Source organism: Homo sapiens, chromosome 12, assembly GCF_000001405.40.
Source record: "Homo sapiens chromosome 12, GRCh38.p14 Primary Assembly".
Lineage (NCBI taxonomy): Eukaryota > Metazoa > Chordata > Mammalia > Primates > Hominidae > Homo > Homo sapiens.
In genome coordinates, this window is record NC_000012.12 from 112,092,905 (window position 1) to 112,116,645 (window position 23,741).

General features: G+C 45.8%; 1 protein-coding gene across 5 annotated transcripts in view, besides 4 other annotated features; it reads right to left on the bottom strand.

Annotated features, from left to right (window-relative positions):
- NAA25 (N-alpha-acetyltransferase 25, NatB auxiliary subunit) overlaps positions 1-15,879 on the bottom strand; it is an 82,095-nt gene extending 66,216 nt beyond the window's left edge. For 4 of the 5 annotated variants that reach the window (XR_944730.4, XR_243023.5, XR_944731.4 and 1 more), the window contains exons 1-2: positions 15,812-15,879; positions 147-232 (exon numbers count right to left, since the gene is read on the bottom strand). Coding sequence is in view for 2 of the 5 variants with exons in the window: in NM_024953.4 (NP_079229.2) it covers positions 147-232; positions 15,812-15,869 (144 nt within the window). In the remaining 3 variants the exon portion in view is untranslated. Of the gene's footprint in view, positions 1-146; positions 233-4,336; positions 4,467-15,811 lie in introns of those variants that run through there. The other variant, XM_006719606.3, reaches the window with a different exon arrangement.
- Positions 9,728-10,228: an enhancer, noted in NCBI's record as "H3K4me1 hESC enhancer chr12:112540436-112540936 (GRCh37/hg19 assembly coordinates)". NCBI's record gives its function as "activates a minimal SCP1, AML or CMV promoter by ChIP-STARR-seq in naive H9 embryonic stem cells {active_cell/tissue: H9 hESC(naive)}" and the evidence as "EXISTENCE:reporter gene assay evidence [ECO:0000049][PMID:30033119]".
- Positions 13,547-14,048: an enhancer, noted in NCBI's record as "H3K4me1 hESC enhancer chr12:112544255-112544756 (GRCh37/hg19 assembly coordinates)". NCBI's record gives its function as "activates a minimal SCP1, AML or CMV promoter by ChIP-STARR-seq in primed H9 embryonic stem cells {active_cell/tissue: H9 hESC(primed)}" and the evidence as "EXISTENCE:reporter gene assay evidence [ECO:0000049][PMID:30033119]".
- Positions 15,649-15,728: a silencer, noted in NCBI's record as "silent region_4880". NCBI's record gives its function as "represses an Ori minimal core promoter by ATAC-STARR-seq in GM12878 lymphoblastoid cells {active_cell/tissue: GM12878}" and the evidence as "EXISTENCE:reporter gene assay evidence [ECO:0000049][PMID:35858748]".
- Positions 15,749-15,828: a silencer, noted in NCBI's record as "silent region_4881". NCBI's record gives its function as "represses an Ori minimal core promoter by ATAC-STARR-seq in GM12878 lymphoblastoid cells {active_cell/tissue: GM12878}" and the evidence as "EXISTENCE:reporter gene assay evidence [ECO:0000049][PMID:35858748]".

The following is a 23,741-nucleotide window of genomic DNA, read 5'->3' on the forward strand; positions in this document are numbered from 1 at the left end:
TGACATCGTGATCCGCTTGCCTCGGCCTCCCAAAGTACTGGGATTACAGGCTTGAGCCACCATGCCCGGCCCTCCTTTCTCTTTAAGGTAAGGAATTACAAATATAACCCGCCACAGGTAAGTAACTGAAGGGCAAATGAAGTTACCTTAGCACAATGAAGATCCTTATGTTTCTTCAACAGTTTATCTGCTTGCTGAATTGCCATTTTATTATTACCATTGTCAAGATAATCTATGAAAAAACAAATTATGTGACAGTTATTATATTCCTTCAATAACAAATATAAAAAATGCACCAACTGGTATGAGATATTTTGGAAAATATCTTAATTTGCTATATAAAACATCATGGAGGCCGGGCGTGGTGGCTTACACCTGTAATCCCAGCACTCTGGGAGCCCGAGGCAGATGGATCACTTGAGGCCAGGAGTTCGAGACCAGCCTGGGCAACATGGATAAACCCCAACTCTACTAAAACTACAAAAATTAGCCAGGCAGTGGTGATGCACACCTGTAGCCCCAGGTACTCGGGAGGCTGAGGCACGAGAATCGCTTGAACCTGGGAGGCAGAGGTTGCAGTGACCTGAGATCATGCCACTGCACTCCAGCCTGGGCAAAACAGTGACACCCTGCCTCAGAAAAAAGTAATAACACAAAATAATAATAATAAAACAAAATAATAAAAACATCATGGGCACAGTCCAGTGGCTCACACCTGTAATCCCAGTACTTTGGGAGGCCAAGGTGGGTGAATCACTTGAGCCCAGGAATTCGAGACCAGCTCTGACAACTTAGTGAGACCCTGTCTCTAGAAGAAATATAAAAATTAGCCAGGCATGTTGCCATGCACCTGTAATCCCAGCTACTCAGGAGGCTGAGGTGGGGTGATCATTTGAGCCTGGGAAGTTGAGGCTACAGTGTGAGCCACGGTCGTGCCACTGCACTCCAGTTTGGGCAACTGAGTGAGACCCTGATTCAAAAAAACTTTTTTTTTTAATTTAAAAATTTTTTTCAACAAATAAAAACATTATGGATCTAATTTTAACTATAAATGGCTAGGACGGTCAAGAATACAAACTTATCCCAGCACTTTGGGAGGCTGAGGTGGGTGGATCACGAAGTCAGGAGATCGAGACCATCCTGGCTAACATGGTGGAAAACCTGTCTCTACTAAAAAATACAAAAAATTAGCCAGGCGTGGTGGTGGGCTCCTGCAGTCCCAGCTACTGGGGAGGCTGAGACAGGAGAATGGCGTGAACCCAGGAGGCGGAGCTTACAGTGAGCCAAGATGGCGCCACTGCACTCCAGCCTAGGCGACAGAGGGAGACTCTGTCTCAAAAAAAAAAAAAAAAAAAAAAGAATACAAACTTACGTCCCTATAGTCATCTCTCATCTACAAGTAATATAATCACACTATGTAGTCCTTAGTGAAGATTCAAGACTATACATATTTAGATGAGATGACATTAATATTTTTATCCATGGATAAGTAATGAGTTTAGTCACCAAAATCTTAAAATCTTTTAAAAATTAAAATAAAAACCAAAAAAGAAACCTTTCTAGTATTCAGGCCTCAAATCTACCAAGTGGACTATGTTCCTTCAATGAAATATATTTAATGAGTACTGACTTTGCCACAGAGTTAAGTCTAATTTGCTGAAGAAAAAAATAAGAGAAAGTTTTACCCATAAGATTGGGAGGTAGGGAATGAATTTCAATAATAGCAGGAGTAGGCAAGGATGTAGGGAAAATAGTACTTTTTTGTGTGTGTGTGAGACAGGGTCTTGCTCAGTCGCCCAAGTTGGAGTGCAATGGCACAATCTTGACTCACTGCAACCTCTGCCTCCTGAGTTCAAGCAATTCTCCTGCCTCAGCCTCCCGAGTAGCTGGGATTACAGGTGTGCACCACCATGCCCAGCTAAATTTGGTATTTTTACTAGAGATGAGGTTTCACTATGTTGGCCAGGCTAGTCTCGAACTCCTGACCTCAAGTGATCTGCCCGCCTCAGCCTCCCAAAGTGAAGGGAGTACATGTGTGAAAGGAGTGTGCCACCATGCCCAGCTGATACATTTCAAGTTTTAAGGAATATGGAGACCCACCATAAAATTGTGTTAGGCTGAGTGTGGTGGCTCATGCCTGCAATCCCAGCACTTAGGAAGGCTGAAGCGGGAGGATAACTTGAGGCCAGAAGTACAAGACCAGCCCAGGCAACACAGCAAGACACCATCTCTAGAAAAAATTTAAAAATTTGGCCAGGCGCGGTGGTTCACACCTGTAATCCCAGCACTTTGGGAGGCCGAGGCGGGCGGATCACGAGGTCAGGAGATTGAGACCATCCTGGCTAACACGGTGAAACCCCATCTCTACTAAAAATACAAAAAATTAGCCGGGCATGGTGGCGGGTGCCTGTAGTCCCAGCTACTCGTGAGGCTGAGGCAGGAGAATGGCGTGAACCCAGGAGGTGGGGCTTGCAGTGAGCTGAGATCGCGCCACTGCACTCCAGCCTGAGTGACAGAGTGAGACTCCGTCTAAAAAAAAAAAGAATTAAAAAAATTTGTCAGGTACGGTGGCGCATGCCTATAGTCCCAGCTACTTGGGAGGTCTGCTTGAGCTTGGGAGGTAGAGGCTGCAGTGAGCTATGATTGCACTACTGCACTCCAGCCTGGGTGGCAGAGCAAGACCTTGTCTCAAAAAAAAAACAAAAACAAACAAACAAAAAAAAAAAAACAAGAAATGAACTATCAAGCACAAAAGACAGAGAGAAAGAAAAAAAAAGACATGGAGGAAGCCTTATATTCATATTGCTAAGGGAAAAAAACCCAATCTGAAAAGGCTATATACTATATAACTCCTACATGGCATTCTGGAAAAGGTGAAAAACTATACAGATAGTAAAATCATCAGTGGTTGACAGAGGATGGAGGTTGGGATGGATAGGTGGAGCACAGGGGATTTTTAGGGCACTGAAACATTCTATATAATACTGTAATGGTGGATATAGGTCTTCATACATTTGTCAAACCCAGAGAATACACAACACAAAGAATGAAGCCTAAACTATTTACGGATTTTAATTAACAATTATGTATCATGTTGGCTCAGCAATGGTAACAAACGTATATGAATCCAAGTTGTTAATAATAAGGGAAACCATGGGGATGGGGAGAGGGAGTATTTGGGAACTCTGTACTTTCTACTCATTTTTCTGTAAACCATAAAGCAGTTTTATGCTCTAAAAACAGTCTATTAATTCTTTTAAAAAGTCTAACAAAAGCAAAGATTCATTTCTAGAGAAGAAAAATGAGAAGTGTTATAAATGGGAAAACAGTACAGTAGCTGTCAATTCTAAATATACAATGATGACTGAACACAGGCCAGTTCACAATCCTCTACCACTACCAGGTTCCTCTTTGCTCATCAAAGTTCCCTATCAGCAAAGGCACAGACAACTTAAAATAATCTATGACCCTGGTGGCTCAGAGTGTCCCACAGAACAGAAATAAACTTTCATTTTACTATACTAAATTTTTCTGCAATTAACACTTAACTAAAACTTAGTCTCATGAATGCATGAGTTCAATGCACTTAATGCACTTAATATTGATGAGCACCAATAATGCTAGGTAAAAAGATAAGAAGCCTTACTCTGTAGGAAATCACAATTTAGAGAGGAAGGCCAAAGACCTAATATTCTGGAGAGGCATTGGAGAATCACAGATATCTAAAAGCACATAATCTTGGCCTAAATACCTAAACATCTAATACCAGTTTTCTTAAATCCTTAGCTGAACTGACAGGCCATCATTTGTCCTTATAAACTATCTGACAAAGATAAACCAGCTCAATAAACGACACCCTCTCTTCCTCATAACTTGATGCTGATCTCATTCTGAGTCAGTTCTAAGTCATTGCTGACTCAGTGGTCCTGCAAGGTTCCAGGTTCATAGAACCTATCTTGAAGCCTTCTCAAAGGGTAAACATCTTTGATGAGACCCATCTCTGAAGGTCTGCCCATAAATGGATCAGACCAGAGGTTAGGACTATAAGGGTATTTTTCCCTTCCCCTCTGTAGTTGACGAGGTTCTGATATAATGTACCTACTTGCCCATGCCCTCTTGTCTGGAAATGGTTTCCAGTGCCCCTGCTGAAGGGGTAGGACTAGATGACCATGTCTAGACCATGTAACTGCAGCCCACCCCAGGTTGGACATTTGATCCAAGCTGGGTAAATCAGGTTTCTTCCTGGTACTCTCTAACTATAAAACTGAAAGCCAGAGTCAGTAAGTTACAAGGAACCTCAGGTGGAAAATCTTAAAAATTTTAAGTCTGAGTTTACCAGTGGCAGCTCCAGAATTTCTATTTTGAAGGCACTTTCGGGGATGCAAGTTGATTGATGTGCAGCAAAGAAAAAGAGTTGTCTCGGCCAGGCGTGGTGGCTCACGGCTGTAATCCCAGCACTTTGGGAAGCTGAGGCGGGTGGATCATGAGGTCAGGAGATCGAGACCATCCTGGCTAACACGGTGAAAGCCCATCTCTACTAAAAATACAAAAAATTAGCCGGGCGTGGTGGCGGGCGCCTGTAGTCCCAGCTACTCGGGAGGCTGAGGTAGGAGAATGGCGTGAACCCTGGAGGCGGAGGTTTCAGTAAGCCAAGATTGCGCCACTGCACTCCAGCCTGGGAGACAGAGCGAGACTCCGTCTCAAAAAAAAAAAAAAAAAAAGAGTTGTCTCTTGACTCTTTATTCACACAGCATTTATATAAAAATGAAAAATGTCAATTACCTTTATTGGAAAATCTAGAGAAATTAAGCTTACGGGTGAGGCTAATGAACCCTCCCTTCTCCAGCCACAGCTTGGTGTGGCTACAAAAGTCAACATGTTGGGTTCTGGGTAAGTTGATGAGTAAGCAGGAAAAAACATTATGAAGAACCGAGCAGACCCGGCGGCTCATGCCTGTAATTCCAGCACTTTGGGAGGCAGAGGCAGACAGATCCCTTGAGGTCAGGAGTTCAAGACCAGCCTGGCCAACACGGTGAAACCCCGTCTCTACCAAAAAAAGTACAAAAATTAGCTGGGCTTGGTGGCGCACGCCTGTAATCCCAGCTACTTGGGAGGCTGAGGCCTAAGAATCACTTGAACCCGGGAGGCGGAGGTTGCAATGAGCTGAGATTGTGCCACTGCACTCCAGCCTGGCAACAGAGCAAGACTCCATCTCAAAAAAAAAAAAAAAAAAAAAACCAAGCAGAGAAATGAATAGACACAGAGAAAAGCAGAGATGAGCAACTGAAAAAGAAGCTTCAGGTCCTGACAACTTTCTCATTTCCATCAGGTCCTGGGGCACTACACTCTTGCCTTGGCTCCCACAAGGATTTACAGTAACCGTCTTTACTTGCGCTGGTATCAAAGAGATTGTTTCTTCACCTGAAAGAGTTTAAAACACTTTACCACATTCAGCCAGGTATCAGGCTCCCATTTCCTGGACCTAGGAGAGTGTGATTAATTAGCTGCTAAGTCTCTTGGGAAAGTTTATTTTCATTTTACATTACTAAATCTGTAATATAAGTTAAGTAGTCCTTGGAGAAAACAAGCCAATAAAAACGATATCCTAAATCTGTCTTCTTAGTAAGTCTTTTTAAAAAGCTACTCAAGGGGAATTGTAGTTTGGCCATGAGGAATGGTGCTGTTCCCTTAATAACAGGAGTCAGCCAAAATCAGCCATCCACAGATCAGGCAATGGAAACAATAAGATGTATTGGTTAAAGCAGTATTTTCCAAAGCACGGGTGAGTGCCATTCCAAATGAAATGTTTTTAGTCCTTGCAGACAGCCCTAGATAATACTCACAGTGAAAAAGTCAATCTCTTTCTTTCTTTTTTTTGAGACTCGCTCTGTTGCCCAGGCTAGAGTGCAGTTGCGCGATCCCAGCTCACTGCAACCTCCGCCTCCAAGGTTCAACTGGGATTGTGCTAAGATTACAGGCGTGAGCCACCACGCCTGGCCCTAATCTCTTTTCTAATACTTCCTTTACATTAAGGAGAAAGTGTCAGTTTGGTGCTAGCCTACTATTTCTCTAAAAATTGCTAGTATCTTTTTTTTTTTTTGGAGACAGAGTCTCACTCTGTCGCCAGGCTGGAGTGCAGTGGCATGATCTCGATTCACTGCAACCTCCACCTCCTAGATTAAAGCAATTCTCCTGCCTCAGCCTCCTGAGTAGCTGGGACTACAGGTGCGCACCACCACACCCAGCTAATTTTTTTTGTACTTTTAGTAGAGACGGGGTTTCACCATGTTGGCCAGGATGGTCTCAATCTCTTGACCTCGTGATCCGTCTGCCTCGGTCTCCCAAAGTGCTGGGATTATAGGCATGAGCTGTCGCACTCGGCCTTTTTTTTTTTCCAGAAGGAAGGAATAGGTCCTGAAGTTTCACAAGTATCAGAATCTGGTTAATAACATTGTTTAGTTTTCATTGTACTTTACTTTTACAGTTTTATTTTCCTACAGCAAGTGATACAAGTTTTCCACTCATAGCAATAATATAATTATAAAATAAATTTAATTTTAAAAGTCACCTTGGAGAAAAATATTAACTGATAGCACAGATAATACTATAATGCAGCTAAAATAATGAGATTAGGTAAAAGAACGATAGAAATTTGGGAAGAACTGGGATAAATCATTGGCAAGACACTATCAAAATTTGTTGAATGAACGCACAAGCTGCACTCCTGAGGTAACACTTCCCAAAGAAGCTACTAGTCCTTGGAGATGCAGGCAGCAGCAGGCCTGGACACATGCAGGCCTGCTGTCCACATGCCCTGGAGAAGAGGTCCTGGGATTTGTTCATCCAATCTTACTGAGGGATGGATACTGACAGTAGGAAAAGTATCAATTTTGCAAATAAAAAGGAAAGTTTTTCATCTGCATGTTCTTGCAGCTGCCATGAATGGTCTCCTTAGCAGCTGAAATAGTATGCTCAGTTTCCACTTCCTACAAGAATTTCAGAGACTATTAAAGATATTGCCACAACTTATAAAAACGCTAAATAGAAGAGAGCTCCATCTTTAAACACAATATCCTTTACTTAAAAATTCTAAAAGTTGGAGAATAGGAGCCTTGCTTTTACCATGAATACAAATTACAGAAGACACATTCCTTCACTCAGCAAGCCTTTGTTAAATACCTACCATGTGCAAGATTGCAAGGGACAAGGATGAACCTAAAAATGAATAATGCCTCCTAACTGACCGACCCATTCTACATTTGCCTCCTATTTATTTATGACAGAGTCTTGCTCTGTCACCAGGCTGGAGTGCAGTGGCACGATCTCGGCTCACTGCAACCTCTGCCTCCCAGGTTCAAGTGATTCTCCTGCCTCAGCCTCCTGAGCAGCTGGGACTACAGGCTCGTACCACCAGGCCTGGCTAATTTTTTTGTATTTTAGTAGAGACAGGGTTTCACCATGTTGGCCAGGATGGTCTCGATCTCCTGACCTCGTGATCCTCCTGCCTCAGCCTCCCAAAGTGCTGGGATTACAGGCGTGAGCCACCACACCTGGCCTTGCTTCCCTTTTAGTTTAAAGGTTTATTTCCCACACAGTATTCAGAGCTATCTTTTTTACATGCACACCTTATCACTCTACTCCTCTGGTTAAATCCTTTTAATGTCATCCACTGTCCTTTTCTTTCTTTTCACAGGTATTGATTCCATTGTCTTTTTTTTTTTTTTTTTTTTTTTGAGATGGAGTCTTGCTCTGTTGCCCAGGCTGGAGTGCAGTGGCTCGATCTTGGCTCGCTGCATGCTCCGCCTCCCGGGCTCACGCCATTCTCCTACCTCAGCCTCCGGAGTAGCTGGGACTACAGGCGCCCGCCATCACGCCCGGAGAATTTTTTGTATTTTTAGTGGAGACGGGGTTTCACCGTGTTACCAGGATAGTCTCGATCTCCTGACCTCGTCATCCACCTGCCTTGGCCTCCCAAAGTGCTGGGATTACAGGCGTGAGCCACCACACCCGGCCTGATTCCACTGTCTTTAAAACAAATTTCAATATCCTTAAAATGGATTACAAAGCTGAGTCGCTGCCCACCCCAGCCTCATCTCACTTCCTCACTCATTTCTTCATTCCAACTGCACAAGCCTTTGCTTACATCCTCAAGTGGACCAAGCTCCTTTTCTCAGGGTCTTCACCACCCTCTCCCCATCTCTTTGCCTAACCCTGGTTCTCTTTTCATGTCCAAAGTAAAACATCATTTCCACAGGAAACCTTTTCTTGACCTGACCCCAACAGTCCAAATGCCCCTATTGTATGCTCTCATGGCAAACTGTCCTATTCCTTCAAATCCCTTAACATAACTGTAATGGTGATGTGTACTGTCATTTCAAGGAGATAAGCTCCTTGAAAGCAGAAACTATGTCTGTGCTGTTTAGTACTCATTTCCTGCATCTATATTGTGCCTAACACATATCAGGCCCTCAATAAATGTTGAATGAAGGAATGCATAAATGAACAAATTGTATGGGGGAAAAAAGGGCAGTCTGCTAGAAAAATGAAAGATATATATATAAGATAATACAGGCCGGGTGCGGTGGCTCATGCCTGTAATCCCAACAGTTTGGGAGGCCGAGGAAGGTGGATTGCTTGAGGTCAGGAGTTCAAGACCTGCCTGACCAACATGGTGAAATCCCATCTCTACTAACAATACAAAAATTAGCCAGGTGTGGTGGCAGGTGCTTGTAATCCCAGCTACTTGGGAGGCTGAGGCAGGAGAATCACTTGAATCCAGGAGGCGGAGGTTGCAGCGAGTGGAGATCACGCCATTGCACTCCAGCCCAGGTGACAGAGTGAGACTGCATCTTAAAAAATCTATCAAAAAAAAAAGATAATACAAAGTGATCACAACAGGAAGTTCAAAGAACCAGTGATTAGTGATGGCTACCAGCTATTAAATTTTTTCCAAATCTTTTCAACTTTTTTTTTTTTTTTTGAGACAGAGTCTAGCTTTGTCACCCAGGCTGCAGTACAGTGGTGCAATCCCGGCTCACTGCATCCTCCACCTCCTGGGTTCAAGCTATTCTCCTGCCTCAGCCTCCCGAGTAGCTAGGATTACAGGCGTGCATCACCATGCCCAGCTAATTTTTTTGTATTTTTAGTAGAGATGGGTTTTCACCACGTTGGCCAGGCTGGTCTGAAACTCCTGGACTCAAGTGATCCACCCAGGAGGCGGAGGTTGCAGCAAGCTGAGATCGCACCATTGCACTCCAGCCTGGGCGACAAGAGTGAAACTCCATCTCAAAAAAATAAAATAAAATAAAAATTTAAAAAACTAGCCAGGCATGGTGGCATGTGCCTGCAGTGCCAGCTACTCCAGAGGCTGAGGCGGGAGGATCACTTGAGCTCAGGAGGTCGAAGCTGCAGTGAGCCATGTTCACATCACTGCACTGCAGCCTGGACAACACAGCAAGACCTTGTCTCCAAAAACAGAAAAAAAAAAAGAAATGTACTAATCTCTTCATCTTGCCCTATGTTTCAACAACTACCCTCTAATCTATGTATTCATCTAAGAATATTTTTGTGCACTAAAACCTTCATTTTCAGTTTAAAAGTCTAGGTCAGGGTTTTTTGTTGTTGTTGTTTGTTTGAATTATTCAGCTAAGACAGCAGAATAGTTTTTTGTTTATTTGTTTTGACATAGAATCTTGCTCTGTTGCCCAGGCTGGAGTACAGTGGCACAATCTCAGCTCACTGCAGCTTGAAGTTCCTGGGTTCAAGCATGCACCATCACACTAGCTGCCCCCCCGCCCCCCGCAATGGAGTCTCGCACTGGAGCCCAGGCTGGAGTGCAATAGCGCGATCTCGGCTCACTGCAACCTCCGCCTCCTGGGTTCACGCGATTCTCTTGCCTCAGCCTTCTGAATAGCTGGGATTACAGATGCACACTACCACACCCGGCTAATTTTTCGTATATTTTTAGTAGAGACGGAGTTTCACTATGTCGGTGAGACTCGTCTCAAACTCTTGACCTCATGATCCGCCGGCCTCGGCTTCCCAAAGTGTTAGGATTACAGGCGTGAGCCACTGCACTCAGCCCTATTTTTTATTTTTTTGAGATGAAGTCTCGCTCTGTCCCCCAGGCTGGAGTACAGTAGCACAATCTCAGCTCACTGCAGCCTCCGCCTCCCGGGTTCAAGTGATTCTTCTGCCTCAGCCTCCTGAGTAGCTGGGGTTACAGGCGCCTGCCACCACACCTGGCTAATTTTTGTATTTTTAGTAGAGATGGGGTTTTGCCATTTTGGCCAGGCTAGTCTCGAACTCCTGGCCTCAAGCAACCCACCCACCTCGGCCTCCCAAAGTGCTGGGATTACAAGCATGAGCCACCTCACCCAGCCAAACCACTGTGCCCAGCTTTGTATGCTTGTTAACACTTGGCCAAAACTGAACACAAAAATAGTCCAGAATGTCACAGGTCCAGGGCAAAAGACCAACAGGGACTGTTTTGGTTATGAGCAAGGTTTTGGTATGGCAGAGGTGGTCTCAGCCATCCAATGGTGATGGAAGTTCTAGATTCATTGAGAGAAGTTCTAGTAAGTCAGGGCTTTTTAAATGGTCATATTTTCAGAATGGAAAAAAATAGGTTGTGCCAAGTGACTTTTCTACAGAAACGCAAGATAGTCTTCACTCACCAAGGTACCCTGTCACTTCTGAGGCAAAATAGGACCAGACTCACAAAGCTACCACACTGTCCAAGAGGAGGTCAGAATAAATACCACTTTTGATTGAGGACCTGCAAGTTTTCATTTATGAACTAGAGCAGTGGTCCCCAACCTTTTTGGCACTAGGGACCGATTTCATGAAAGACAATTTTTCCACAGATGGCAGGGAGGGATGGTTTCGGGATAAAACTATTCCACCTCAGATATCAGGCATTAGTTAGAGTCTCATAAGGAGCGCCAACCTCGATTCCTCACATGCATAGTTCACAACAGGGTTTGTGTTCCTACTCCTAAGAGCTGATCTGACAGGAGGCGGGGCTCAGGCAGTAATGCTCTCCCCCACAACACCCTGCTGCTCACCTCCTACTGTGCGGCCCATTTCCTAACAGGCCACAGACCAGTATCACACACCATCCTGGGGTCAGGAACTCCTAAACTATGAACTATAGTGGAATAATTACCTGAGCCAGGCACCCAAGAGAAATGTCCTAACTCAGCAAAGAAGTGACTGTCACCCGGGAGACACACTGGAAAATATCTTACACCTGATCCAGGCTAATCCAAGACTGCAGGTCAGTACGACATATTAAAACAAGGGATCTCATGCCTGTGTATGTGTGTATATTCTAAAGACTATGCACACATTTTTTCTACTTTGAACTTTCTCTATTTCTATTATGCAATTTGCTGACCTAGCAATTCCCATATTCTATACAAATTTATTAAGTGCCATACCTGACCATCAATTCCACTTCCAATTATCTAAAAATATGAGCGTGAAATTAAAAACAAAAAAGAAAAAAAAGAAAGAAAAATAAATAAATAAAAGTATGGGGTAGAGGAGGCTGCATAACAAAACAGAGTCAAATATTTATTATCTCCCTCCATCCCTTCCCTTCCCTAATCCATAACCACTGAAAATGTTTTAAAATTAAGAATAATGGGGCCAGGTGCAGTGGCTCACGCCTGTAATCCCAGCACTTTGGGAGGCTGAGGCAAGTGGACCACATGATCAGAAGTTCAAGACCAACCTGGCCAATGTGGTGAAATCCTGTCTCTACTAAAAATACAAAAAATTAACCTGGCGTGGTGGCGGGCGCCTGTATTCCCAGCTGCTCTGGAGGCTGAGGCAGGAGAATGGCGTGAACCCGGAAGGTGGAGCTTGCAGTGAGCGGAGATCACGCCACTGCACCCCAGCCTGCAGGACAGAGTGAGACTCCATCTCAAAAAAAAAAACAAAACAAAAACAAAAACAAAAATTAGCCGGGCATGGTGGTGCATGCCTGTAACCCAGCTACTCAGGAGGCTGAGGCAGAGAACTGTTTGAACCCAGGAGGCAGAGGTTGCAGTGAGCCAAGATCGCGCCACTGCATTCCAGCCTGGGTGACAGAGCAAGACTCCTTCTTAAAAAAATAATAATAATAATGGGCAGGGCGCAGTGGCTCACGCCTGTAACCCCAGCACTTTGGGAGGCCAAGGCAGGCAGATTGCTTGAGCTCAGGAGTTCGAGACCAGCCTGAACAACATGGTGAAATGCTGTCTCTACAAAAAATACAAAAATTAGCCAGGCGTGGTGGTGCCCGCCTGCAGTCCCAGTACTCAGGAGGCTGAGGTGGATGGATGACTTGAGCCTGGGAAGTGGAGGTTACAGTGAGCCAAGACACTCCAGCCTGGGTGACAGAGCCAGATCCTGTCTCAAAAAAATAACGAAAGAAGGCACTGGGGCTTACCAAGTCACACAAGAGTACAAAATCTGCTGGGAACTACGTAGCAAAAGAGAATAATTTTAGCAAAAGGAGACCAAATAATCAAGTATGGGTTCCAGTAAGGTCATGGGTGGAGGTTTTCAAAAACGAAAAATGCAATACCCAAACTTATTAGTAATGTGAGATGCACTGGGAAGATGTTTCAAATCTATGCACACAGAAAAGCTATTCCAACCCTAGACACCACCAGTAAAATTTCAACCCACCACAATTTATCACCACATAGCCCTGTCCACATATACCCTCAATGAATTCCAGCAAGAGCTGAGGCCCCAAGCAAGGTTTCCAACACAATTGTAAAATAAATCCTGAAACCTTGGCAGTACAAATACTGTTGTACAAAGACAGTGATGCTACTGAATCTGAACTTGGTGAAGAGCTGAGCTCTCAGTGAGAATGTCTATGTTCAAATCCCAGCTCTACAACTTGGTAGCTACAACCTTGAGCAAGTTAATCTCTAGGCTTCAGTTTGATCACAATAATCTTACCTACCTAATAGGGCAGTCAGCCCACCAGTAAACACTAATTAATGCTGATAGTTGTTGAATTTTTGGCTGGTGGGCAAGTACCACCATAGATGAGTTTGTTCATTTGTCAGAATGTCTGAATTCAAGGAACCATGGTTGTTTGGGGGTAGTAATGTATTTAAACAACAAAAGTGTGGAGTTCAAAAGTCAAATGTGCTTAAGTGCTGAATTCACGGACAGTCTGTACCGTTCTTTTCCTAGTCCTGCCAGTTTATACTAATCGCCTTAGAATTACTGAAGAAAGCCTCTTCTAATCCTCTTCCCATGTACATGTTACAAAAGCTACATAATTCTGACTTCAGTTTTGAGAATATAACTTGTTAATATATCCTGATGTTTAGTGATGTGAAATGGACATGGTGTTTCCCATTAGACAGTCAAAACACTATTAATTCTAAATAACTATGGGACCAAAGAAATTCTCTTTGGTCCTCAAGAACAATTTTAAAAATCAAATTATTCTTGAAAGTATTGAGTGTTTTTAGTTTAAAAAAAAAAAAGTCTGCAGGCAGCTGCTGCACAAAGCTGTAATGAGTCACAAACTATGAACCCTGGATTCAGTTCTCACCTTCCATCACCCACCTTGTATATATATCTCTGCCCTCTGAAAATATACACTGGAGGGCAAGGGCATGAGAATATGCAGCCCCGGGGAAATAGGAAATCAGAGTCCTTTCTCTGCCACTTACCATCTGTGTGACCTCAGGCAAATCAGTGTCTTCAGCTCAAAGTGAGGTAGTTTCTAGCACAGTGGTTAAGAAGGTGAGCCTGGGCCAGGCACAGTGGCTCACACCTGTAATCCCAGCACTCTGGGAGGCTGAGGCAGGACTGCTTGAGCTCAGGAGTTTTAGACTAGACTGGGCAACATGACGAAACCCATTCTCTACAATATATACAAAAATTAGCCGGCATGGTGGCGGGCACCTGTAATCCCAGCTACTCAGGAGACTGAGGCAGGAGAATCACTTGAACCCAGGAGGCGGAGGCTGGTTGCAGTGCACTGTGATTGTGCAACTGCACTCTAGCCTGGATGACAGAATGAGACTGTCTCCAAAAAAAAAAAAAAAAAAAAAAAAAAGGTGAGCCTGGAGCCAGGCATGGTGGCTCACACCTATAATCCCAGCACTTTGGGAGGCTGAGTAGGTCAAGAGTTCAAGTCCAGCCTGGCTAACATGGTAAACTCCTGTCTCTACTAAAAACATGGAAGTTCGCTGGGCCTGGTGGCGTGCAACTGTAATCTCAGCTACTCAGGAGGCTGAGGCAGGAGAATCGCTTGAACCTGGGAGGCAGAGGGTGCAGTGAACTGAGATTGTGCCACTGTACTCCAACCTGGACGACAGAGTGAGACTCATCTCAAAAGAAAAAAAAGGTGAGCCTGAAACAGTCCACAGGGGTTCAAATTCTAGCTCCAAGAAATACTAACTGAGTGGCCTTAGACAAATTACACAACAACAATAAAGCCTCAGTTTCCTCATCTGTTTTTTTTTTTGTTGTTGTTGTTGTTAAAGGGTTCAGGGGCAGGAAAAAACAGTAGCCACCTCTTGAGAATGGGTGAAGATTATATTAGATAACCCATATAAAAGGCCAAGGCCAGTGACTGTCATAATGAGTCATCTATAAACCTTAGCTATAGGATTGTTGCTAAAATCAAATGAGATGTGAGAGTAAAAAAAAAAATCACACAAATTATGAAATAAAAGCCGGACTAACTGTGGCCAGAAACAAAGTTAACCACCGCCCCCCGCTCCCAAAACGATTCCCACCTTGGAGAGAAGCCTCCAATTTAGTAACATCCACATGAGGTCTATAAATACGATGTCTACTTTTGTAAAAACCACTGACCTTGAAGCTTCCTCACCATTAAGTGAGATAGACCAAGACCATAAAACCATCTAAGAGGAAAGGAAATGCAAAAAGGACCAATCCAATTACACATTTCGGTTATTGGAAAAGGGTTTCTCCCAAACTCAAAATCTGTGATTTTTCACTACCAGGGTAAATGGATGAGATGACATCAAGGTCTTCAAGTCTGCGGGTTGAGGTAAGAGTTGTGGAGAGGGATCTGCTTAGCACAGGGAAGGAAAGCTGCAGAGAAAACCACAGAGAAGCTGCAGAAAGGAGAAGCCCTCCAGTAGCTCTGCATGCCCCTCTGACACGAGCTATCACAATCTCTTCACCGCTATTTTAGGCCCAAGACCCCCTCCCCCCGCCTCCCACGTGTGACCAGAGTAGCTGCTTCTCCACCCAACAGCTCTGGATTGGGAGCCTGGAATCTCGGGCCTGCTCCTGACTCGATCTGGGTGACCTTGCGTCAGCCCCTTCCCCACTCCGGACCTCAGTTTCTCCTATGCACCGAAGCCCACCTAGTCAGACAACCCTCTAGGCCCAATTCCCGTAAATAAAAAAAAATCTCTGGTAGGGAATCTTCCCTCAGGCAGGGCGTCCCACCCTCGTGCCGGAGCCGGCTTCCACCTTCGGGGAGATCTCCGGTCTCCCTAGGAGCGGCGGTAACGATGCAGCCTGCGGGTAGCGCAGGTGTCTGCAGAACCACGCGTCCCACGGGGCCTGCCAAGCAGGCCAGCTCTGCCGACCAGCTGCTGCCCAGACCGCGCCACTACCACCCCAAGGCTGAGGAAGGTTGGGCCGGCGCCTACGCGAGGCCCGCGGCTGCGGCCTAGTGGCCCGCGCGGCCCGCCCCCCTGCGCCTGCCCGGCCCGCGCGCCGGCCCTCAGCACCCCTCCTGGGCTTTCGCCCCAGCCTCGGCAGCCCTCGGCGCGTCGGGCTGGCGAGCGGGCTGGTCCAAGACACTCACCGTAAATGGGCCGGAGGCGCCTGTCGTTAGGGTCCTGCACATGGCCCCGCGTCGCCATGATGACAAGCGCAGAACCACAGTGCGCACGCGCGGGGCAGGACCCCGGGAAAGGGCTATTAAAGGGCCAGCGTCGATCTCGCTTGTCTATCACGATAGTCGCGGTGCTGCGACTGAACGCGCCTGCGCGGAAAGGGAAGCATCCACCCTTGCCGATTGCCACCTCTTTAAACGCTGTTCCTTCACTTAGCAGGTGGGATCAAGCTGGCAAGAGGAGGCAGCTGTTGCTGTTAAAGTCTTCCGAGTCACTGACTGGGAAGTTAGGAGAGGAGGGGAGAAAGCTCTCAAAGTTAGGGTTCGGCTGCTCCTGTTTATCCTATTTATTCTCCGTCCTGAAGAACCAGCTAGACTTGGCTGTGATTAATCGCAGAGGAACCAGAAACTCCCGGGGGAGAGAGACCCAGGGGAAAGTTGGGGAAGCGGGGCTGATCAACAGCAAAAATCTGCCAAAAAAGTTCGAGAGAGCCGGGCGCTGTGGCTCAGCCTGTAATCCCAGCACTTTGGGAGGCCGAGGCGGGCGGATCACAAGGTCAGGAGATCGAGACCATCCTGGCTAACACGGTGAAACCCCATCTCTACTAAAAATACAAAAAAAGTTAGCGGGGCGTAGTGGCGGGCGCCTGTAGTCCCAGCTACTCATGAGGCTGAGGCAGGAGAATGGCGTGAACCCAGGAGGCGGAGCTTGCAGTAAGCCGAGATCGCGCCACTGCACCCCAGCCTGGGCGACAGAGCGAGACTCCATCTCAAAAAAAAAAAAAAAAAAAGAAAAAAGTTCGAGAGCCCTCCACCACCTGTTCCTGGACCAAACTGAGCGTCAGGCTGCTGTTTCTCCTGGTTCAGTAAGGAGATGCAGATGAACTGGAGAGGAAGCGAGTTTTTATTTCTGCAACCAGTTACAGGGAGAAGGCCTGGAAATTATCACCAGACCAACTTAAAATTACAAAGCTTTCCAGAGCTTATATACCTTCTAAGCTATATGTCTACGTGTAAATGTGCATTCATCTAAAGACATAAGTGATTAACTCGCCGGGCGCGGTGGCTCATGCCTGTAATCCCAGCACTTTGGGAGGCCAAGGCGGGCGGATCACGAGGTCAGGAGATCGAGACCACGGTGAAACCCCATCTCTACTAAAAATACAAAAAATTAGCTGGGCGCAGTGACAGGCGCCTGTAGTCCCAGCTACTAGGGAGGCTGAGGCAGGAGAATGGCGTGAACCCGGAAGGCGGAGCTTGCAGTGAGCCGAGATCCCGGCACTGCACTCCAGCCTGGGCGAGGGAGGCTCCGTCTCAAAAAAAAAAAAATAATAATAATAATAATTGATTAACTCACTTTAGTCTATAACTAAGGTTTGAGTCCTGAAGACTTTCCTTTGAAGCCTCAGTAAATTTACTTAATCTAAATGGCAATAGGTGCTGGGGTGATTATCCTTATCTTGCCTCCTACTAAATCACGGAGGTTTGGGGAGTTACTTCAGACCCCCAATAAAATTTGTTTAATCCTAAATGGGTCCTGTTAGGAATTCTTTCGTTATTTTGTCATGCTTTAAGGCCAAGGAAAGGCCTAGGCAAAACTCTTGGTGGGCTTTTGTTACATTCCATCCTTTGTATAAGGGCACTGGCTTTTTTTTTTTAGCTTTTAATATGTAACTTAACCACTCAGTTAGTACTGAAACAGTTGTTATGGAGGCCTGTGTTAGTGAGACCTGGCCTGCCACACACCCTTCTCCCAGGACTCAGCCAACAAAGAAGCATCCTAGATGAATACTTACTCGGTATCTGCCTAGAGTATTTAAATGCAAGGTCTTTACATTTATTCTCTCATTTAATTTTCATAACTGTCATCGTATTTCCCTGGGAGGTAGATCTTATTATTACCTCTCTTTTTACAGATAGATTTATTCGTACAACACTGAGTTATTGAGTGCCTATTATTTGACACACTCTTGTTTTAGGCACAGAGGATACATCAATAAATAAAATAGACAGAGACTTAATGGAGTTTTTATTTGTAGTGAGGGAGACAGACAATAAATAAGTAGATAGCCTATTACATGGTGATAAATGCTACTGAGAAAAATAAAGCAGGAAAGGGGGGCAGTGAGAGAGGGAGGTAATTTTAAATAGTGTGGTAAGGCTGGCTTGGTGGCTCACCCCTGTAATCCCACCACTTTGGCAGGCCAAAGTGGGTGGATCACATGAGGTCAGGGGTTCAAGACAAGCCTGGCCAACATGATAAAACCCCTTCTCTGCTAAAAATACAAATATTAGCTGGGTGTGGTAGTGTGAGCCTGTAACCCCGGCTACTCAGGAGGCTGAGGCAGGAGAATCGCTTGAACCCGGTAGGCAAAGGTTGCAGTGAGCCAAGATCGTGCCATTGCACTCCAGCATGGGCAACAGAGCAAGACTCTTGCATAAATAAATAAATAGGCCGGGTGCAGTGGGTCGTGCCTGTAATCTCAGCACTTTGTGAGGCCGAGGCGGGTGGATCACCTGAGGTCAGGAGTTTGAGACCAGCCTGGGCAACGTGGCGAAACCCCATCTCTACTAAAAATACAAAAAATTAGTCAGGCGTGGTGGCACGTGCCTGTAATCCCAGCTACTCCCGAGGCTGAGGCTTGAACCCGGGAGGTGGAGGTTGCAGTGAGCCAAGATCATGTTGTTGCACTCTAGCCTGGGCAACAGAGCAAGACTCCATCTCAAAAAAAAAAAAAAAAAAGGAAGGCATTTAAATACTCCAGAGGTCGGGAATGGTGACTCACGCCTGTAATCCTAGCACTTAGGAGGTCTAGGCGAGCGGATCACTTGAGGACATGAGTTCGAGACCAGCCTGGGCAACATGGCAAAACCCCATCTCTACTAAAAATAAAAAATTAGCTGAGCGGCTGGGCACAGTGGCTCACGCCTGTAATCCCAGCACTTTGGGAGGCTAAGGTGGGTGGATCACGAGGTCAGGAGATCGAGACCATCCTGGCTAACACGGTGAAACCCTGTCTTTACTAAAAATACAAAAAAATTAGCCAGACGTGGTGGCGGGCACTTGTAGTCCCAGCTACTCGGGAGGCTGAGGCAGGAGAATGGCGTGAACCCAGGAGACGGAGCTTGCAGTGAGCCGAGATTGTGCCACTGCACTCCAGCCTGCAACAGAGTGAGACTCCATCTCCAAAAAAAAAAAAAAAAAAAAAAAAATTAGCTGAGCAGGGTGGTGCGCACCTGTAATCCCAGCTACTCAGGGGGCTGAGGCACAAGAATCACTTGAGCCCAGGAGGTGGAAGTTGCAGAGCCGAGATTGCAACACTGCACTCCAGCCTGGGCAACAGAGGGAGACTCTGTCTCAAAAATATATATAAATAAATAAATACTCCCTGGATAAGGATCATTTGAGCCCAGGAGTTTGAGGCTGTAGTGAGCTATGATTGCACTACTGCACTCCGGCCTGGGTGACAGAGCGAGACCCTGACTCTCCAAAAACAAACAAACAAAGACTCCCGGGATGAAGTTATCAGGCAAAGTACAACAAAATATTTGAGACATACATACATACATTCACTGTTTATCTTAAATTCAAATTTAACTGGGTGTCCTGTATTTTTATTTGCTAAATCGGGCAACCCTGCGCTAGGGGAAACTCCATGCCCCCCAAATCATGCTAAGCAGCAACAATGAAGGGCAGATGCCTCAGGCAAGCTGACCCTAGGATCACTCAGAGATGGTGTGTGACCCTGCTGAGGTTGGGCTAGGACAGGGAAAAGGAGGGAGGAGAGCTGGGGTTCACCTTTGGTGCAAGTGAAAGAGATGATGAGTCACCTGAGATTTAAGAATTTCCCAGGAATGGAAAAATACAGCACCTTTAAGGGGAGCACATATGAGGCTCCTAACCAAGGCTCGGGTTACTCAGCCATGTTCTTACGCTACCTTTGTTGGCCTGGCCCCAGAGGAATGCTGATAGACTTGGCACCCAGCTCCCTGAACTTGGCAAGACCAGGGCATCATATGGATCTACCTAGCAGAGGCTTCTAGAGTCTTAGGTCACCATCCTTAGTGGGATATATTTCCCTCCACTCTGAAAGACTGCTTAGCATCCAACTAGGATTAATTGGTTGTTCTCTTTTCCCATTCCTACTGCTTGTCCTCAGAACCTAAGAATGAAGCAGTGACTCGCTAGGCTCTGGGCCTGTCCTTACCTGCCGCTGGGAGGCAGCTTGCACACCCTTTGGCAGGCCTGAATCTTTTCGGGTAACAAGATGACCTCTGAGGAAGCCAAAAGCCCATCCTTGCTGTACAATTCAGAACTTGGAGCTCTTAGCGATGACATTATGGAAAAGTGCTTGGTATACAGCAGGTGCTCATTAAGTAGTGTTTTCCATTTTCTCAACTTAGAGGAGGGGCATACAGTCTTCATTTGGTAACATTTTCTCTAGTGAGAAACATTCTCCCTGGCCGGGTGTGGTGGCTCATACCTGTAATCTCAGCGCTTTGGGAGGCTGAGGCAGGTGGATCACTTGACGTCTGGAGTTTGAGACCAGCCTGGCCAACATGGCAAAAACCCATCTCTACTAAAAAATACAAAAATTGGCCAGGTGTGGTGGCCCACACCTCTAATCCCAGCTACTTGGGAGGCTGAGGCAGGAGAATCGCTTGAACCCAGGAGGCAAAGGTTGCAGTGAGCCGAGATCACGCCACTGCACTCCAGCCTGGGCCACAGAGCAAGACTCTGTCCCCCTACCGCCAAAAAAAAAGAAGAAGAAGAAGAAGCAGAAGGAGAAGGAGAAGGAGGAGAAGGAAAAGGAGAAGAGAAGGAGGAGGAGGAGGAGGAGAGGAAGAGGAAGAGGAAGAGGAAGAAGAAATGTTTTCCCTAAAGGGCAGTGAGACACCTGGGTGCTTTGTGCCTGAATAGCTAAGGATACCAGGGAGGGGGACTGCATTACTTGAATATGGTGATGTGGGTGTCTCCATCCAATGATTCTTCTAGTTTTTCTTTTTTTTTTGCGGGGGGGACGGAGTCTCGCTCTTTCGCCTGGGGCCGGACTGCAGTGGCGCTATCTCGGCTCACTGCAAGCTCCGCCTCCCAGGTTCTCGAGTAGTTGAGACTACAGGCGCCCGCCACCACGCCCGGCTAATTTTTTGTATTTTTAGTAGGGACGGGGTTTCACAGTGTTAGCCAGGATGGTCTGGATCCTCCCGACCTCATGATCCGCCTGCCTCGGCCTCCCAAAGTGCTGGGATTACAGGCGTGAGCCACCGCGCCCAGCCTATGGTTTTATTTTTAACACGTAAATATTTGATCCATTTGGTATTTATTTCCATATGAATAATAAGGTAGTCTTTCGGCCAAGCGTGGTAGTTCACACTAATCCCAATACTTTGGGAGGCCAAGATGGGCAGATCACTTGAGGTCAGGAGTTCGAGACCAGCCTGGCCAACATGGTGAAACCCAGTCTGTACTGAAGATACAAAAATTAGCCGAGCGAGGTGGTACGTGCCTGTATTCCCAGCTACTCAGGAGGCTGAGGCAGGAGAATCACTTGAATCTAGGAGGAGGAAGTTGCAGTGAGCTGAGATCTCACCATTGCACTCCAGCCTGGGCGACAGAGCAAGACTCCCTCTCAAAATAAACAAATTAAATAAATAAATAAATAAATAAATAAATAAATGTCAGGTGCGGTAGCTCATGCCTGTAATCCCAGCACTTTGGGAGGCCGAGGTGGGCAGATTGCCTGAGCTCAGGAGATGACAACTAGCCTGGGCAACCTGGTGAAACCCCATCTCTACTAAAAATACAAAAAATTAGCTGGGCGTGGTGGCGTGCGCCTGTAGTCCCAGCTACTTGGGAGGCTGAGGCAGGAGAATTGCTTGAACCCAGGAGGCGGAGATTGCAGTGAGCTGAGATCTCGCCACTGCACTCCAGCCTGGGCAACAGAGCAATACTCTGTCTCAAAACGAATAAATAAATAAGGTGAGATTTCAATTTTATCTTTTTCAGTTGTATCTATCTATCTATAGTGGTCATATAAATATATATAGTAGCTGTATAAATATATAAAGGGAATATATATATACATATATATACACATGTATATATTTTTGTTTTGTTTTGTTTTGTTTTTGCCGGGTGCGGTGGCTCGCAGGCTGGGCGCAGTGGGTCACACCTGTAATCCCAACAATTTGGGAGGCCAGGGTGGGCGGATCACTTGAGGTCAGGAGTTCAAGACCAGTCTGGCTAACATGCTGAAACTCCATCTGTACTAAAACCACAAAAATTAGCCGGGCGTGGTGGCAGGCGCCTGTAATCCCAGATTACAAGAGAGGCAGGAGAATCACTTGAACCTTGGAAATGGAGGTTGCAGTGAGCTGAGATCGCGCCACTGACTCCAGCCTGCGTGACAGAGTGAGACTCCATCTCAAAAAAAAAAAAAATATATATATATATATAAAATGTATTTTATATATATATATATTTTTTTTTGGTAGAGACAGGTTCTTGAACACCTGGCTTCAAGCAATCCTCCCACCTCGGCCTCTCAAAGCCAAGGGAGCCACCATGCCTGACCTCAACCCCTATTTATTGAATAGTCCATCTTTTTCACAAAGCACCCAATGCCATCATTATCATATATTAAATTTCCATATGCATTTCTGGCTAGTCATGGAACAGTCTCTAGTCTCTATTCAAGGGCAGGTCAACACCGGAGTCTGCAGAGTTGGCTGGATTATCTGATCTGAGTCTGGGCTTGCTCTATACAGCCTCTGAACTACTCAACTCTTGGGAGAACATTGTCAGCTGCATTTGGGCTACTGGATGCTAAGAATGAGGCCCTTGATTTGGAATGAAGTCACCTTGAGGGGGTAGTGCTGCTTTGTGGCCAGTTCCCTGAGAAAGCGTATGAGATAAGGAATTAAAACCACCCAGGAAATTTTTTAAATAATTCTAAAATTTATATGAAAATAGTAATGACCTAGAATAGCCAAAATGGCAAGGCCAGTTGCAATGGCTCACATCTGTAATCCCAGTACTTTGGGAGGCCAAGGTAGGACGATTGCTTGAGTTCAAGACCAGCCTGGGCAACATAGCAAGACCCCCATCTCTACAAAACTAAAAAAATTAGCTGGAAGTGGTGGTGCACCCTTGTGGTCCCAGCTACTCTGGAGTGTGAGGCGGGAGGATTGCTTGATCCAGCCAGGAGTTTGAGGCTGCAGTGGGCTATGACCCTTTCTCAAAATAAATAAATAAATAAAGCCACATTCGTTAAGACTGTGGAGAAATAGCATAAGGATAAACAGGTAGATGTGTAGAACAGAGAGCCCAGAAATAGATTCTATACATATGGTCACTTGATTTATGACAAAGGCCCAAGTGAAATTCAGTGGAGAAAAGATTTTTTCTCCCAGTAAATGGAACCATAGGTTATGTTTTTATTTATTTATTTGGTCTGTTTGTGAGGCAAGGTCTCACTTTGTCACCCAGGAGGGAGTGCAGTCACACAATCACAGCTCACTGCAGCCTTGAACTCCTGGGCTCAAGCGATCCTCCTCCCTCAGTCTCCCGAGTAGCTGGGACTACAAACACACATCAGAATGCCCAGCTAATTTTTTCACTTTTTTGTAGAGGCAGGGGTCTTGCTATGTTACTCAGGCTAGTCTTAAACTCCTGGGCTCAAGCAATCCTCCCACCTTTGCCTTCCAAAGTGCTGGGATTATATATATGTGTGAGCCACTGTGCCCGGCCTCACACCTTAGGCAGTGTTGGGGGAGAGAACTGAGTGAGGGCTTTTCCTGGGAAATCAGACTAAAACAAAGTGATCCTAACTCTCCTCCTCTAGACACTAGGAGGGTCTCTGCAGGTGTCTGTGGGTTGAAGCTGCCCGGGGAAGGCAGC